Genomic DNA, 18970 nt, shown 5'->3' on the forward strand with positions numbered 1-18970 from the left:
CAGAAGCAGGGAAGGAGAAGACATGTTACAGAAATATTCTTAATTCTTCTGATTCACTGTATCATGGAACTCACAGTCCAAACTCAAAAATTAGTATTAGCATATGTGAAGTGCTTACTCTAATTTCTGAAACATAACTGAAGCTCATTAAATTACTAACATAATCATGATTATTATTATTACTAAAGGATAGAAAGCCATGAAAATTATTAATTATAGTAAAATAAAGTATCACTGCCATTTTAGAAAAACAGCTGAACATTATCAAAAAAGTAGCTGAGACCTGAATATCCCCCAATTTCCATTTTCAACCAATTTTCAATGTTACCTAAAGCAATAATTAGAACACAGGTATTAAAAAATTAAGTTAATGGCAAAGTCAAAACTTGCATTAAACTTCATCTGATAGCCACTATATTATTAACCTATACAAAATATTTTTGCCTTTAAGCTAGATTTACCTACACAAAATACTTTTGTGTAGGTAAATAATGTAGTTCAAAATATGAGCTATATAGGTAAATAATATATGAATTGTATATAATATATGATATGAATAATATATGAATTATATATCAATATCATGATATGAATATCATGATATATTGTGTGTATATATACTATATATATAAAATATATATTTCATAAATATATAAATATATAATATATATTTCATAAATATATAAATATATAATATATAGTTCATATATATATAATTCATATATTATTTACCTATACAAAATAGCCACAGCATTAGGGCTGATTCACTTTCTACAAAATATCTAATTTTTATTTATTTTCAAAAAAGTTTTCCCTAAAACACATAATTTTTTAAAAATATCCAATTTGGCCGGGCGCGGTGGCTCACGCCTGTAATCCCAGCACTTTGGGAGGCCGAGGCGGGTGGATCATGAGGTCAGGAGATCGAGACCATCCTGGCTAACAAGGTGAAACCCCGTCTCTACTAAAAATACAAAAAAAATTAGCCGGGCGCGGTGGCGGGCGCCTGTAGTCCCAGCTACTCGGGAGGCTGAGGCAGGAGAATGGCGTGAACCCGGGAAGCGGAGCTTGCAGTGAGCCGAGATTGCGCCACTGCAGTCCGCAGTCCGGCCTGGGCGACAGAGCAAGACTCCGTCTCAAAAAAAAAAAAAAAAAAATATCCAATTTGTATGCTATTTGTTTTATAATAATGATGCTTTTAAAATTTAGTAACAAAAAAATTTCAAATGAAAGAATGGTCAACAATTCAAATTAATTATAATAGCTAAAATCTAGTGAGTACCTACACGCCCCAGGTACCATCCTAAGCAATTTATAGTATCAATTCATAAACATTTCCCCACAAAGCTGTAAGATGGATATTATAATTTTTTTAAGGGAAACTGAAATTAAAAGAAATGAGATCTGACAACACTACAGGATATAAAAGTTAAGAGTTAATCTTTTAAAATGACAATATTTTTTCAACATGAACTATATTATGATCAAATAACCATCAAGTACACGAAGAAGAAACCAGAGGGAGAATTACAATAAATAAAATTAACAGCTCTTACTTGATTAATTTCACTTTGGAGTTGTAACCCATGCTGCTCCTTTTCTTCTCTCTGTTGTTGTAGCTGCTTAAACTCCGCCTTTAGATGCTGGTACTTGGTCTCTACCTCAGATAATTCTTCTTTGAGCTTTTGAGTAGCTTCTCCTTTTTCACTTAGTTCTACATGTATTCTATGCAGTGAGGTTTCAGATGCAGACAATCTTGACTGAAGCTGTTGACAATCTAGGTCTTTTTGATGAAGGGTTGCCTGAATATTCTTTTTACTCACAGATTCTTCATTATGTTTCTCCTCTAACTTAGTATAGTCTTGTTCTTTTTTCAGCAAGTTTTCTGTCAAGGTCTAAAATATCAATTTAACAATTTATTTCCTTTTCTAATATTTTTAATTACTCCAATTACTCAAACAATCTTTGGAGCAGTACTGTCTCCTATTATACATTTTAGTCAATATTAAAATATAAAACAGTGACAATGTTCTAGTCAAGAATTAAATCATTACATACTAACTTGTGATTTCACTATTGGTCCACTTAACTAAAATCTACTAATACAACTTAAGAATTGCCAAGCAAATGTTGACATAAAAAAAAAATAAAATCTACTGGATTTTTTAGGTTATGTGACATATTTATATTCTTCCACTTGAGTTAAAAACTGAAACTACCATTCTACCAACAAATTATTTTGAGTAACAATATACTATGCAAACTTTGATTTTTCACTGTGCAATTTCATAGTTGGTAAGAGCTTTAGCACAGCAATATCATCCACTGTTCTAATGCACCTAACCTATTGATTGCATCTTTTTATGCTCTTCTTGTTAAAGACCAAGTTTTGGAGTCACAAGCTAAGACTAATTCAAATTTTTTTCTAGGTGTATTAAAAAATGATCTAAAGCTAATCACCTGCCTTAAATTTTGTCATTTTTCAATGCTATCAAGTATAAAACACAAAAATAACACTTCTAATCAAAGACCTGGATCAACCAACCTAATCTAATGTCAAAGCCTGGTCTCAGTGGGGTTGTAAAAATTAACACTAAACATTTTAAGTAAACATATTTAAGCAAAAAACATGGATCAGAATTTTAACTAAATTCTGTAAGACATCCAGCCAGGATAAGAAGCTACTGTAAGTACCTGGTGAGTCAGTTAGTGGACCTTTAGTGTACAAACTTACATGCAGTGTGCTGGAAGGGGATGACACTGAAATAGGAAAGAACAATCAAAGCCTTCATGCTTTAAACAAAATATACTCTAAATGAAATACACACAACTAAACAAACAACAACCACAAAAACCTTCTAAGAAAGTTAAAACATAATGCATGAGTCAGAATGGGTTAATAGAAAAGTGTGTCAAATTTCTTAAGGCACAATTTTTTTAAAAAATGAGCAAAGTCAAGGGGAGCTAGCTAGTTAAGATCATCTAAATACAATGAAGTTTGAGCCTGGTTTTAAAAGCAATGGGAAAAATCATGGAATACATACATATGATACATGCCATCTGCTCTATATAAATGTATAAGACATGAAGGAAAAGGCAAACAAGTTTCAGGTGGGGTGACAGCAAAACCCTATTATTTCACAGGGGATAATAGATCTTTATTGCTGCGTTCCCCAACATGGGAAACGCAGCAATAAAGGTTCTTGAATATTTGTCTAAGAAAAAGTAAGCTAATGTTACTTATCAAACAGAAATATACTATGGAAAAGCAGTGTCCAGAGAGATGATAAAAGTATGTATAAGAGAGGCCAGGTGCAGCAGCTCACACCTGTAATCCCAGCACTCTGTGAGGCTGAGACAGAAAGATTACTTGAGGTCAGGAGTTAAAGACCAGCCTGGGCAATATAGCAAGACTCTATCTCTACCAAAAGAAAAACAAATTAGCCAGGCATGGCGGTATGCACCTATAGACCTAGCTACCCGAGAGGCTAAAGCAGGAGGCATGCTTGGGCCCAAGAGTTTAAGGCTGCAGTGAACTAAGATCACGCCACTGCACTCCAGCCTGGGCAACAAGGGCAAGACCCTGTCACTAAAAAAAAAAAAAAAAAAAAAAAGAGTACTTATAAGAGAGGATGACAGACAGACTTAAAAGTAAGAAGAGCAACCATTAAGTTTACAGCAAAATTAGCTACAAGATGTGTGCTTTGACTAAGCAACAAAAACAGAAAAAAAGACATAGAGCCAAGAAAATCACAGAACAAAAATAATACTTCTGATTCAACTATGTTAGAAAAATTATCTTTTTATAAACATTTCTTTGTAATTCCAAATTTTTCTTGACATAATTCTACATTTGTTTTGTTTAGGAAAACATTTGTTTTAGAATTTGTAAGCAAATTATTCATTAATCTATAAATCATCTTTTTTTTTTCTTTTTCTTTTTTGAGACAGTCTCACTCTGTCGCCCAGACTGGAGTGCAGTGGCGCGATCTCAGCTAACTCCAAGCTCCGCCTCTCGGGGTTCACGCCATTCTCCTGCCTCAGCCTCCCCAGCAGCTGGGATTACAGGCTCCCGCCACCATGCCCAGCTAATTTTCTTGTATTTTTAGTAGAGACGGGGTTTCACCATGTTAGCCAGGATGGTCTCGATCTCCTGACCTCATGATCCGCCCACCTCGGCCTCCCAAAGTGCTGGGATTATAGGCCTGAGCCACCGCGCCTGGCCAGCTATAAATCATCTTTTGTAAAGAGAATTCTAAGTTACTGAATTTCATAAATGCAACCATGTTCACATACACTGAGAACTTGGATGGAACATACCTTTTAAAATATGCTACAAAAATTAAGGCATATAATGAGTTAGAGTCTTCTTCCCCACAGACTTACTTAGAAAGTAACCAACTAATCCCACCTTTCTATATACACCCTTGAGATAGTTTCACTCCTTTTTTTTTTTTTTTTTTTTTTTTTTTTTGAGATGGAGTCTCGCTCTGTCGCCCAGGTGGGAGTGCAGTGGCACAATATTGGCTCACTGCAAGCTCCACCTCCCGGGTTCACACCATTCTCTTGCCTCAGCCTCCCAAGTAGCTAAGACTACAGGCGCCCGCCACCATGCCCAGCTAATTTTTTGTATTTTTAGTAGAGACAGGGTTTCACCATGTTGGCCAAGCTGGTCTCGATCTCCTGACCTTGTGATCTGCCCGCCTTGGCCTACCAAAGTGCTGGGATTACAGACATGAGCCACCGCGCCCGGCTGATAGTTTCACTCTTTAAAAGGCAAAAAACATATGGTAACAACTAGGGACTGTTTAAAATTGCCTTGTCCCAAAAAAATTAACCAAAATCTACCAGCATTATTACAAACATGAAAGAGAATTAAATTTTCTTTAAAAGTACCGAAACCACTTTCTTTCTTTTTAAAAGAATCTAATCCACTCACACTTTGTAATTTTTACAGGCAAAAGACTAACTATATTTTATTATTAAAACTTTTCATTTTTATTATGGTCTTCCCATGGAATCTGAAGCAAAATATTATAGTGAATACATGGTTTTTGAAGAGTGACTTTTTAAACTATAGTGAAATTCATTAAAAAATAATAAGAGCATTTTCACTTCTCCATATTAATCTTTACAACAAAATATGAGATAGAGATTTACAGATGAGGAAGGTGAAGTTGACAGAGCCTGATATGATTGGTCAAATGGTAGAATCATGGATTATGATTCTAAATCCAATAAATTTTTCATAACACAATTGAGACATTCAATAAATCAATTTGTACTCCCTAAAATATATCCTATTCAAATTTAAATTATAAAATGCATGTTAATCCTATGTTATAACCTAATTATCATTTGAGTAAGCAAAATTCTTCCCTTCCAAGTATCCAGTCCCTTTTTATTTTCTCACCAATTGTTATCTCAATATATATTCTTACAGCGACAATTTCCCTATATTACGCTCCATTTTTCATTTGTTACTTGTTCAGATAATGAAATGAATATAAAAAGAGTGCCATGTTTTAATGCTTCATAGCTTACAAAGTTATTTCAGAGATCTCATCTCACTTGTTCCTCAGAATAGCTTGGTGAGAATGAACAAATTAAACTACTTTGTAGCTCGCCAACGTCTCTTATTTTATGAGATACATATGCTCTTACATTGTTCTATGCCTTTTGTACACCTAGCTCTCAAAATGAAATGTCTTAACCCCTCTGCCATATGAAATGCTCCTTAGCAACCTTAAAGACTCAGCTAAAAAGTTATGTTTTATACAAAAGCCTTTTACTGCCTAATTTACTAGGCAGTAAATTAGGAAAACTCTCACCTTGGTCTTGACCCAATCCTGTATCACAACACTTAACAATTAAAAACAACAACCAGCCGGGTGCAGTGGCTCACATCTGTAATCCCAGCACTTTGGGAGGCCGAGGCGGGCAGATCACAAGGTCAGGAGTTTGAGGCCAGCCTGACCCACATGGTGAAACCCCGTCTCTACTAAAAATACAAAAATTAGCCAGGCGTGGTGGTGCGTACCTGTAATCCCAGTTACTCAGGAGGCTGAGGCAAGAGAATCACTTGAACTCGGGAGATGGAGGTTGCAGTGAGCTGAGATCGCACCACTGCACTCCAGCCTATGTGAAAAAGTGAGACTCTGTCTCATTTAAAAAAAAAAAAAAAAAACCAACAACAACCCACATTCACTAAGGTGCTTACTAAAAGTCAATAAGCACTTTTATTATTTTATTAATTTATGTAATGTTCCTATTAATCCTAAGAGGTAAGTGGGTATAATAATATTTCTTAGCAGGAGAGTAAACAGACTCTCAGAGGCTTAGTGTCACAGCCAGTAAGTGGCAAAGCTGAGATTTAAGAATGCCTGTGACTACTGCACTATACTGTTCTTATCAATATACCACTTTGCAATGCAGTGGTAATACAAGCGATATAATAACTACTGGCCAAATGTGGCTCCCACTTTGGCATGTGAGCGTCTTAGAACTGGGACTGGTGAAAAAGGAGAGCAATGGAGAAAAGCGATGAAGGATGAGACCCAAAAAAATCTCTGTCTCTTCCAATGACCTATATTATATTGTAGTGACTGTAGATAAGCAATATAATTTTGTTTAGAATTTATAAGGAAACAGTTAATTGAGCTGTTTAAATGTCAGAAGTTATTTTTGTTAAAAACTAGGAAGAAAGTTTCTTCAATTTTTCCATTATGTTTTTAAGTTTTCAAGGCTAGTAATTATAAAACACTGGTTTAAACCTGAAAACCTTGACATTAACACAAAAGCAATTATCTTTTCCATCCATTATATATTACAATGTTACCTATCCACGTTGATACTACCTGTGACCCACAAAAGCTGCCCAGGACATTTCATGTAATAGCCTTCAAATGACCAAGTAAAGAGATTCCAAATTCAAAGCACTTGAAAATCACCACTGTCAATAATTATGGTTTACCAAAGACATGGGGTAAGGAGGGGTGAGAGAAGTAGATAGTGAGGATAATAAGAAAAGGCAGATGCAACTGTGGGCTTGCACTGACTGGTGACCAAATCCCAAACAGAGAAACCCTTTGGGAAAAACAAAACAAAACTGCAAAGTGTTAAATTTATGTAAGGCATTATTAAGATTAGTAGAAGGTCTTATTATTCCCTAATAAGAAATGTTCCAATTCTAACACAATAAAATAATCTTGATTCTATGTATTAATCATAAAATAGCCACAGGACTTCTTTCAATAATGTGCACGTGTGAATATACATACACACAACACACACAAAATGTGTGCTAGAGTATTTGACTGTACATTTCAGCTATCAATATCAAATCATGTCCTTTATTAATAGCTTAATGTTTGAGAAACACATAATAACACTGATCATCAACACTCACTGCTTGCAAACTGCTACTCTACATATCCTGGTCAGCTTCCAAGAGATAGAAGGTAAGCTCTGGGTTCAAAGAAATTAAAAATCAAACAGAGGGACAAAGGCAAAACTAAATTATGTAGAAGTTTTCTACGTGTAGTTTGACAGGATATAAAAGGGGCGCAAGGATCTAGAGGTTTACTAGGGAAAAGCACAGCTATGAAAGATTATATTTTAAACATCAATCAACACCAAGAGTTGATGGGGAAAGGGGCAATGGTAAACTGGTATAATTACTTTGGAAAATAGCTGGAGGTCATCTAGTAAATCTGAGCACGTGTCTGCCCTACAGGACAGGAATTTCACTTCGAGTATCTAACATAGAGAAATTCTTGTACTAATGCATAAGATTTATATATGAATGTTCATAGCTATAATATTTGAATATTTGTAGTAGCAAGAAAAATAAAAAATAGAAAGTATACATGGACCATTTCTCCTCCACACCAAAGTATAATACAGTTGTCATGAAGAAAAGTACTCATGTGATTGAGTTATACTGAACTAGCCACACTTTTTTTTTTATGAAACACCACTTTTACTAGAAAGACCGACAGACTATTAATATTCGGACTTGAGTAGGAAGGGAATCTGTCACTTTAAAGAATAGAATTGATAGTATTTGTTGCCAGTGATAAAACTCAAGCTTTCAAATACAGCTTAGAATTTTGGAAAACATGTATCCACCACCATGAGCTTGACAGCTTCCTCATATTTAAAGCCTAATCTGAGATTGATGGTGATATTGACAAATGTGACTGTTTTTATATTGTACAATAAAATGTATCAAAATTTGGAAGATCTGAGTAACTCAGTGAACCAATATTTTCCACATGACTAATGCATGATCTTATAAAATCACGCACAGGAAAAGATCCACTCAAAAGGCAAGATAGATCAAATTTTAATGTTACAGTGTACAAAAAGTCCACTGACTCGGTTTCAGATTCCACATTGTCACTAACTTTTAAGACACTATTATCAAATTTGAGCACAGTATCAAATAAAGAAAGCCACAATTATCTGAAAAAGTATTAAAATATTCCTTCCTTTTCCAACTACATATCTGTATGAGACTAAATTTTCTTCATATACTTCAACCATATACTACAATAGATTTAATGTAAAGGCAGATATGAGAATCTACCTGTCCTATATTAAGCTAGACATTAAAGAGGTTTCCAAAAATGTGAAACATCACAACTATTCTTGCTGAATTCTTTTGTTTTAGAAAATGGTCATTTTTCATAAGAAATGCTATTTATGTTAATATTTAATGAGTTAATGTTTTTTAAATAAATTAATATTTTTAAATTACTTTTAAATTTCGATATGACAAGTGTCCATAGATATAACCTCACCCAAAAATGGCTCTTTGGAGTCCTTAATCATTTTGAGAATGTAAAAAGAAGTGCTTGCCAAGGGCAGCAAATTACCCTGAAACTTCATGGCAGCAAATTACCCTGAAACTTCATGGCAGCAGCCTAAAACAATATCTATTATATCATATAGTTTTTGAGGGTCAGGAATCTAGAAGTGGCTTAACTGGGTGATTTCACCTCAGGGTCTCTCATGAGGTTATAGTAAGCTGCTGGCCAGAGCTACAGTTTCTGAAAACTTGACTAGGATTGGAGCATCTACTTTCAAGCTCATACACATGGCTGTTGGCAGGAGGTTTAATATTTATAGCTAATTATATTTCTCTTTATTCCCTTATGCCCTATTTTTTTCTTTCTTGACTTTTTCCTTATTATATTTCACGAAAATGTTAAGTTATTACAACTTAACCAACACATTCACATCTCTGAATAAAAGGGTTTCATAACTCTCTACTGCCCCACCACCAAAAAAGTAAAGACAAAGGGAAAAAGTATTAATATTAGTACCTCCCCTAACCCCAAACAAAATACTATATGTTGCTCTTTATTTTTTGAGATGGAATCTCACTCTGTGGCCCAGGCTGGAGTGCAGTGGCATGATCTCGGCTCACTGCAATTTCTGCCTCCCATGTTCAAGTGATTCTCCTGCCTCAGCCTCCTAAGTAGCTGGGATTACAGGCATGTGCCACCACACCCAGCTAATTTTTGTATTTTTAATAGAATGGGATTTCACCATGTTGGCCAGGCTGGTCTCAAACTCCTGACCTCAGGTGATTTGCCCGCCTTGGCCTCCCAAAGTGCTGGGATTACAGGCGTGAGCCACCGCACCTGGCCAATGTTGCTCATTTATAAAGAAACAATACAGAAAATACTAACATTTAAAAATACAAAACAAAGTTGAAGGCTTATCTTCCTGATTTTAAAACTTATTACAAAGCTACAGTAATCAAAACAGTGTGGTACTAGCATAAAGATGGACATAGAGTCCAATGGAATAGAATAGAGAGCCAGAAATAAACCTTTGCATATATTGTTGCTATGGTCTGAATGTCTGTGTCCCCCCAAAATTCATATACTGAAACTCTAACCCTCAAGGAGATGGTATTAGGAGATGGGGCATTTCAGAGGTAATTAGGTCCTCAGGGTTGAGTTCTCATGAATGGAATTACAAAAGAGGCCCCAGTGAGGTCTCTTGTTCTTTTCACCATGTGGGACACAGTGAGAAGGCACCATCTATGAACCAGAAAGCAATGTTTCACCAGACACCAAATCTGCTAGTGCCTTGATTTTGAACTTCTCAGCCTCCAAAATAGTAAAAAATAAATTTCTATTGTTTATAAGCTACCCAGTTTATAGTATCTTATTATAGGAGCCCAAACAGACTAAGACAATGGTCAAATAATTTCTGACAAGGGTGCCAAGATTATTCAACGGGGAAAGGACAGTCTTTTCTACAAATGTTGCTGGGAAAAATGGATATCCATGTATAAAAGAATAAAATTAGACCCTTACCTTATACTATATACAAAATTAAATCAAAATGGATCAAAAACCTAAACATAAGACCTAAAAATTAGAAAACTCTTATAAGAAAACAAAAGAAAAGCTTCATGACACTAGGTTTAGCAATGATTTTTTGGATATGACACCAAATAGACCTTAACAAAAATGAAAGTAGATAAATTAGACTACATCAAAATTTAACATTCCTACAGAATGGGATAAAATATTTGCAAATCACATATCTGATAAGGGGTTAATATCCAGAATATATAAAGAACTCCTACAACTCAATAACAACAATGAAACCCAGTTTTGTTGCATATGGCCAGCAAGCACATTAAAAAATGTTCAACAACGTAGTCATTAGGGGCATGCAAATCAAAGCCACAATGAGATACCACCACCCTATACCCATTAAGATGGCTACTCTCAAAAAAGAAAAAGAAAGTAAGTGTTGGTGAGGATGTAGAGAAACTGGAACCCTGGTACAGTTGGTGGGAATATAAAAGGGTTACAGCCACTATGGAAATTAGTATGGCAGTTCCTCAAATAATTAAAAATAGAATTATCATATGATCTACCAATTCCACTTACAGGTAAAGAATTGAAAGCAACGTGACAAAGAGATATTTGTACAGCCATGTTGAAAGTGGCATTACAGCCAAAAGATTGAAGCAATCCAAGTGTCTATCAGCAGATGAATGAATAACATATATACATACAACAAAATGTTATTCAGCCTTAAAAACAAATTCTGACAGAAGCTATAACACAAACGAACCTTGAGGACACTATAAGTCAGTCACAAAAAGACAAATACTGTTGGATGTAGTAACCCAAAGTTGAAAAAATTTAAAAAACAACATTTTTAAAAGACAAATACTGTATGGTTCTATTTATATGAGGCACCTAGGGTAGTCAAATTTTAGAGACAGAAAGTAGAATGGAAGCTTCCAGGAGCTAGAGAGAAGGAGTAATGCAGAGTTAACAGTTATAGAATTTCAACTTTGCACAATGAAAAAAGTTCTAGAGATTGGTTTGCACAATAATGTGAACATATTAAACACTAAAAAAAAAAAATAAGTCACATTGTACTATGCCAATATATTTTTTAAAGTATGTAAGATTAATATTTAAAATACATAAAATCAATTTGCTATTATATATAGCTTTAAAATTCTCACCTGATTTTTTTGTGTTAATTCATTAACTGAACTTTTCAGTTTTTGTAGTTCCTGTACATATACAGCAACTTCCTGGGGGCCTTTGGCAAGTTCACTCCTTAGCTGGCTTATTGTGGCCTAACAAAACAAAACAAAACAAAAATTAAAGCAAACTAAATTGTCTAAAAGATAAAAAAAATGAAAGTATATAAAGGTTTTAAGAAAACAAATTTTTTGTTGTTGGAATTTTCAATTTTGTTCTTTATCCTACCACCTATACTGCCACATTATGCTTTTTTCGGCTTACGACAAATTTTTACAATTTAACTAAGATGCATAACTTCATTTATTTAGTAATACATAAAATGAAAATCTGGCATCCTACTTTAAGTTTCTGAAGTATCAAATTGCAAACCTAAATTTACTGGTTCTTAAACTCTATACTTCAATCTTCCAGAATTTAAAGATAATATGCCAGTTATATCTACATTTCCTCCCAACTTCTATAGCATAAAATTATCCTTTTACTTTAAGACATGTATATACAAACATGCAACACAGAGCTTGATATTAGTGAATCATCTTTCTAAATTGTAAAGAAAATATCTTTGTCCAAAGAAGTTACCAAGCTGAAGTTATACACAGCTTCCTTAAGCTAGATCACTATATGGTCAGGTATAACCGTCAGGCATGAACTTGCTTTAGTGCATTTTAATTATTATTATTTTTTTTTATACAGGGTCTTGCTCTGTCACCCAGGCTTGAGTGAAGTGGTACGATCACAGCTCACTGTAGCTCTGAGCCTCCCCGCTTCAAGCAATCCTCCCACATCAGCCTCTCAAGTAGCTAGGGCTACAGGTGTGTGCCATCACGCCCAGCTAATTTTTTTATTTTCTGTTGAGACAGGGTCTTACTATGTTGCCTAGGCTGGTCCCCAACTCCTGGGCTCAAGCGACTCTCCCACTACGGCCTCCTGGGATTACAGCCATGAGCCACTGAGCCCAGCCCATTTTAATATTTTAAAAAATGTGAAAATCACTTTTTATTACTAAAGCAACAGTTTGATCATTTAAAAATAATATAAGACAAAGACAGGTAAGCAAAGATCTTGGAAATAATAAATTTCGAATACATAAAAGCTGAACCATTACAGAGAAAGACGAAGTATTTTTTTTTAAGTATGGTCTGCTGCAAATGACATTGACAAAATAACTTTCTATTATATTAATATTTCTAATATTGCTTATCGGCTTTACTTTCCACTTTATTTATAAAGTTACAATCATTTCCAGTGTCTATTTCTTTATTACTGAATAAACTTTATAATATGAATAAGATACAAGTTTTAAATTTTTTCTTAATACTTATACTTATTCATATCATATATTACAAATGAGTGCTTTCATCTTCAAGGGAGAAATCTCAGAAGGCTACTAACTTATCACGGCAACAATGCTATTATTTAAGAGATCATTGGCTGATCTTCTTTTGGAAACCCTTCCAGAGTGTGTGGAACTTATTTTTTTAAGGGATTCTCAGTGGTGGTGTATCCTCATCCATTTTATGGTGGCTTTGATTCTAAGTTTTGGAAACCAACAAGTTTATAGGCAAGGTAAGTGACTGAACTGAAAGATCAAACACTTGGGCTTATTTTATTTTAATAATTATTTTATTTAATAACCATTTTATTTTAATAACTTGGGCTTATTTTAAAAATCAGAAGGTAAGCGATTGGACTGAATGATCAAATTCTTGGGCTTATTTTAATAACCATAAATTAACAAAATTAGTTTTTTTAGTGTGTTCCAGATGGGCTAAAAGTCAATGAAAATAAGTTTCAAAAATGCTTTTAGGAATGGAATATGTCTGAGATATGTGCATGGCCTGACCTTTTTGGGAAAACATTCACTTAAAAGTACAAATTCTGATGCAATGAAAGGCAATCTGTAACATTACCATATTGTTACACCTTATACACAGTGCTTCAGTATCATATGTAACAGCTGATATGTTAATATATACATAATCTTATACAATTCAAAGAAGAAAATGTTGAAATATTCATGTATTTTCAACTACACTCAAGTTAAAGGCCTACCCTAAAACCATCTGTCTTAAACTGAACATGTAACCTTGAAATGGATTTAGCTACTGTGAGTTTATTTCAAATTACTATTTCTAATAATTTTGAATCCCAAAATTATTTTGTTAGTAGGGTAACAATTTGACTATTTTAACTCACTATGTTTTAATCATATAGCAAAAATGCCAATTTATTACAAAATAAAATATCACATTTAAATCCCTACTTGTAAATATCTTATCAAAAAAATTTGCACAGGTTCCTGGCACATAACGCACAGAAATAATAACAGTATATATTAAAATGCAAATTATGTGTATATCTCATTAAATATCATGATTTCATATTGAAGTTCATAAAATTTATTAAGCCAAGTGTAAGGTCTATCTTGCTGATAAATTCCAACATGTAGAAATAAGAATTTCTAGTAAGAATAAGAATAGAATTTTCCTTATTAAATAAGGAAAATGTAAAGCAAACACACTCCAAAATATCCTATTTTAGAGCTTTTTTGTATCCTATTTTATAGCTTTTAGATATGCTCTTACTGTATAAGGTTAACAACTAAAAAACTGGACATTAAGTGTATCATTTACACTTTGTACAACAAATTTGGATATTGTGAAAACTAAAATTTTTATATAGATAAATTCCAGCACTTGAAACTTTAAAATTTACTCAAGGGGACAATAAGGAAAGATTTGGGAAGACTTATACATCCAGAGGCCAACTTTAGTTATGAAGAAGAGGAGTGAGGAGAGTGAATTCTGGAAAGGCTTCCCCTTTTCTATTGCACATTATGAATCATTAATCTTTTACAATAATCACATATTATGTTTATATTTGGGGAAAAAATAAAGATTAAAGACAGACAATAATTACAAAAGACAAAAAGTAAATACAATCCCTCTTCAGATATCACTATGGGTGAAGTTCAAAGATCTCTATTCATACTGACCTTCTTCTCTAATAGGCCAAGATTGTATGTGCCTTGGACTTTAACCTTCTCCTGGGAATCCTAGCTCCCACTGCTTAACTCTGACTCTTGCTTATTTCATTCTTCTCACACATATCCTCCATGAGATCTTCCCCGACAACTCTAAAACTGTTCTAAAGTATTCCCACTTCCACTACCGCCCATATGCACTTTATTTTTCTTCCTCGCAGCCCTTATTATTACCTAGCTTTCTATCATGATTCAGTGTACTTGTACAGTCTGTTGTTTGATTTCCACAAAGGATTAAGCCTTATGGGAGCAAGCATTCTGTCTTATTCAGTATTTTAATCCCCACACCTAAAGTAGTCCCTGACACTTGGAAGACCCAAAAAGACTCACTAAAGGAATGAGTAATTATACCTCCAAAGAGATAATAGATATTTATTTCCAAGGAAACAATATATTAGATCCTATAAAAAGTTTGCACTTCCTTGGTTTTCTGAAATGTTATTGAATTCAATACTGAATTTTTACTAAAAAACTTTACAAAATAAGGAAAGATATTTCAAGCAAACATCCTGCTGGTGCATTAGAATTAAAATTATTGTTTTAATATGCTACAACTATAAGTAAATAATCATTTTAAAATGGTTGAAGCTATGCATGATTAGCAAAACAAAAATGAGCATGTCTTCAAAGCTCTAAGATTGCCTTAAAACATAAAATTGCCATATAACAATTGAAGGTGACACATTAAGGGTATTATTAATATTAAAAAGCCTCCCAAAATCACATTACCTCAAGTTTAAGCATCTCCATTAGAAAGCAGAAAAAGTAATAACAAAATGGTGGATGAAAGGTGGCAGACAAGACTGACAAAAGTACACACTGAGCACATAATTAAAATGACCAAACATGCCTACACATCTAGTCTCTTAAAGAAGCATACTTTAAAAGATATTTAAATACTTTCATAGCTATGCATGGGTATAATCATACTTATTCCATATCTACATGAACATTTTAGCACTTAAAACTGGGATTCAATGAGTTTATTTGGAAAAAAGTAAAATTCTTTAAAAATCATTTCCATTAAATACTACACCAAATATAAGTTGATTACAGCTTAGATATTTTCAATAATGTAGATTTGTATAAATATACTTTTTAACCTTTAAATCCTCAATTTCCAATCCATAAAACAGCCAATTATCTATAAAGAATTTTCAAATGCTTTAGAATGAGATATTTTCTATATGCCTTCAAAAATACCCAGGCAAAAAGAAGTCAATGAATTCATAAGGTATGCATTCAATGAAAATAATAAACACAAGGACATACATAGTTAATAATGTACACCAGATTATGTATCTTCAGCCCCAACTAGGTATACTAGTCAAATAAACATTTATTTGAGCTAAATGTTAAAACACATATTCCTAAAATTGCCATTAATTTTGTTTGAAATAAATGTTTACTTGAGATTTTAATTTTTTTTCTTTTTTTGAGACAGAGTCTCACTCTGCTGCCCAGGTTCGAAGTACAGTGACATGATCTTGGCTCACTGCAACCTCCACCTCCCGGGTTCAAGGGATTCTCCTGCCTCAGCCTCCCAAGTAGCTGGGATTACAGGCATGCGCCACCACACACCCGGCTAATTTTTTGTATTTTTAGTAGAGACAGGGTTTCACTGTGTTGGTCATGCTAGTCTTGTACTCCTGACCTCAGGTGATCCACCGCCTGGGCCTCCCAACGTGCTGGGATTACAGGTGTGAGCCACTGCACCTGGCCCTTAAAAATAAATTTTTAGCTTCTTTAATTCCTTTGTATGTGTTTTGTTTCTGATGCCAATATTTAGGTTTGGTAAAAACAGCAACATCCATAATAAAAATTGTTGTATTAAGTCCTATAATTCACTAACATACTTAATTGAAAATAACTAGAATTGAATTTTAATAAATTAATAAAACGTCATATATTCAGATTAAGGAAAAGCTAAAAAACAAATGCAGTTATAAACAAATAAATGAGATGAAGTAATTAGTAATTTTTTTCATATGGAAATGGTATGACACAACTCAAAAGTATTTTAAGCTATTACCCAATACAAATATTACAACACACAATATGGCAAAATTAGAAAAGTAATTAACAATAAGTTTTAGGACAAGATTAATAGCACAAATTTACTTAAAAGGCAATCATCAGACCACCTAAATTAGGAGACAACATAATAAAAAGGGAATGACACAGGCTTTGGACAAAACCTGAGTTCCAACCCTAGCTTTTATATTAGGTGTGACCTTGAACAATTTACTTAATCTCATTGCCTCTCAGATTCCTCACATGTAAAACATACTTAATAGTTAACTTACAGGGTTATAAGAAACAAATGCGACCACGTTTTAAGTGCCTAACATAGTATCCAAAACCTACTGGTGCTCAAAAGAGTAAGAGTTTGTTTCTAATAATAATATTATTCTGACTCTTAAGTTACCATTTCCTAAAGTTATTCAAAATATTTTAACATAGCCAAGGTCTCATTCATCACTACATATCTATTAATTAAATAGGTAATAAGTATTATTATTTTATTAAAAATATAATGAAATATTAAATCACCTATTCAGTTACTCAGCACAAATAAGTTCCTTTCTAAATTTATTTCCAAATACTTGAAAAGATAAATTTTTATGAAAATTTAAATGAAAACACGAAGAACTGATTTCTAAGCCATTTTCCTTCTTTCCTAGAAATACCTTTTCTAGAAAAAAAAAAAAAATCACCATTTCTTACAAAGCCCTGTTTGCAGGAGGAGACGATGGAGGGAGACACTAAATTCTTTCACCTCCCTATCTTTCATAACTCTAGTCATAGAATGGGTGTGGTGACTCACATCTTTAATACCAACACTTTGGGAAACTAAGGCAGAAGGATCTGCTTGAGGCCAGGAGGTCAAGACCAGCCTAAGCAACATAGCAAGACCCCATCTCTACCAAAAATAATTTGTTAAATAAAGAAAAACAAAAAAACTCTAATCATAGCTTTTTCATCTTAAATGACTTATTCTCCTTAGATATAAAGGTATTTTAATCTACAATAGAAATATAAATTCATAAAACACTAAAAATTCTTAAATAAGAATTTATTAGAGTAACTCTTAAATATTACTTAGAAATGAGTAATTCTTAAATTAGAGTAACTCCTAAATGTTACTTAGAAATGTCTTCCCATTAGCAAGTTATATTATATTCTCACCTTTTTTTTTTTTTTTTTTTTTTTTTTTTGAAACAGGGTCTGCCTCTATCGCCCAGGCTAGAGTGCAGTGGTGTGATCATGGCTCACTGCAGCCTCAACCTTTTGGGCTCAAGCAATCCTCTCACCTCAGCTTCCCACCTAGCTGGGAGTACAGGTACGTGCCAGCACGTCTGGCTAACTTTCTATAGAGACAGGATTTCACCATGTTGCCCAGGCTGGTTAAACTCCTGGACTGAAGCAATCTGCCTGCCTCAGCTGCCAAAGTCCTGGGATTATAGAGGTGAGCCACCATACTCAGCCTGTATTTTTTTTAAATGCAAGTAAACATGTAAATTTATTTTCCTTGTTAATGTTCTATTTGTTTAAAAAGTATATGCATAACTCCAAAACTTGCAGCTGGAATAAGTCAGAGAGGACTCAACTTTAAAATACATATTCCTAAAACTGACATTAATTTGGTTCTGTTTTAGTCACCATAATACATTTATTTTAAAATTTCAAATAGCATTTAAGATATTTTTTAATCAAAAGGGAGTGTATTTTTTTTTAATTTGAGAAATACCAATAGGCAGACATATCTAAACAAAAATAGTTCTTACTGATACAAAGAAATAAATGACTGGGTTCACCCTGGTTTAGGTATTTTGACATTAACATCTGAATAGCACTTTTCCTCATGAGACTTCTTTGATTCAGCCTCTCCTTGATTTCACATTTGTACTTATAGATTTATCATTGTCTTCTGCTGATTAATAATACCAGTAGGACAAGAGCTTTTAACTGGCTTCAGTAAGTTCATGAACCACCTGAAATTGTTTGAAAATTTTTGGAATTAAGTGTTATTGGGCTACAAAGTGTCAATTTTGGAAAAACTGCATCCAAATATCATAAGTTAGAGAGTGTAGTGTTAGGCATCATAAGGCCTTACATGCCTATGTGTGTTATATCCACAAACTTTCACCATCTCTTCCCATAAGATAAAGAAAGATTTTTAAAAATGAATTAGACATGGGTTATCTATAATACTTATACCCCAAAGCTTGATGACATGTTATATTTGTGAATAGAGTGGCTTTTAGATCACCAGTTACAAAACTCTAAGGAAGAGATTCAAATTAAAATGTTACGGTAACAACTTTTTAAACTGAAAATATGAAAATCAGAGGTCTACTTTACATAAGGGAGCTTAAAGACTACAAATAAC

At 33.5% G+C, this 18970-nt stretch overlaps 1 protein-coding gene across 2 annotated transcripts in view; it reads right to left on the reverse strand.

Annotated features, from left to right (window-relative positions):
* EEA1 (early endosome antigen 1) overlaps nt 1–18970 on the reverse strand; it is a 158659-nt gene that overhangs the window by 60319 nt on the left and 79370 nt on the right. For both annotated transcript variants that reach the window (NM_003566.4, XM_011538814.3), the window contains 2 exons: nt 11510–11626; nt 1557–1895 (listed from right to left, as the gene is read on the reverse strand). In NM_003566.4, coding sequence (NP_003557.3) covers nt 1557–1895; nt 11510–11626 — 456 coding nt within the window. The remainder of the gene's footprint in view (nt 1–1556; nt 1896–11509; nt 11627–18970) is intronic.

Source organism: Homo sapiens, chromosome 12 (assembly GCF_000001405.40).
Source record: "Homo sapiens chromosome 12, GRCh38.p14 Primary Assembly".
Lineage (NCBI taxonomy): Eukaryota > Metazoa > Chordata > Mammalia > Primates > Hominidae > Homo > Homo sapiens.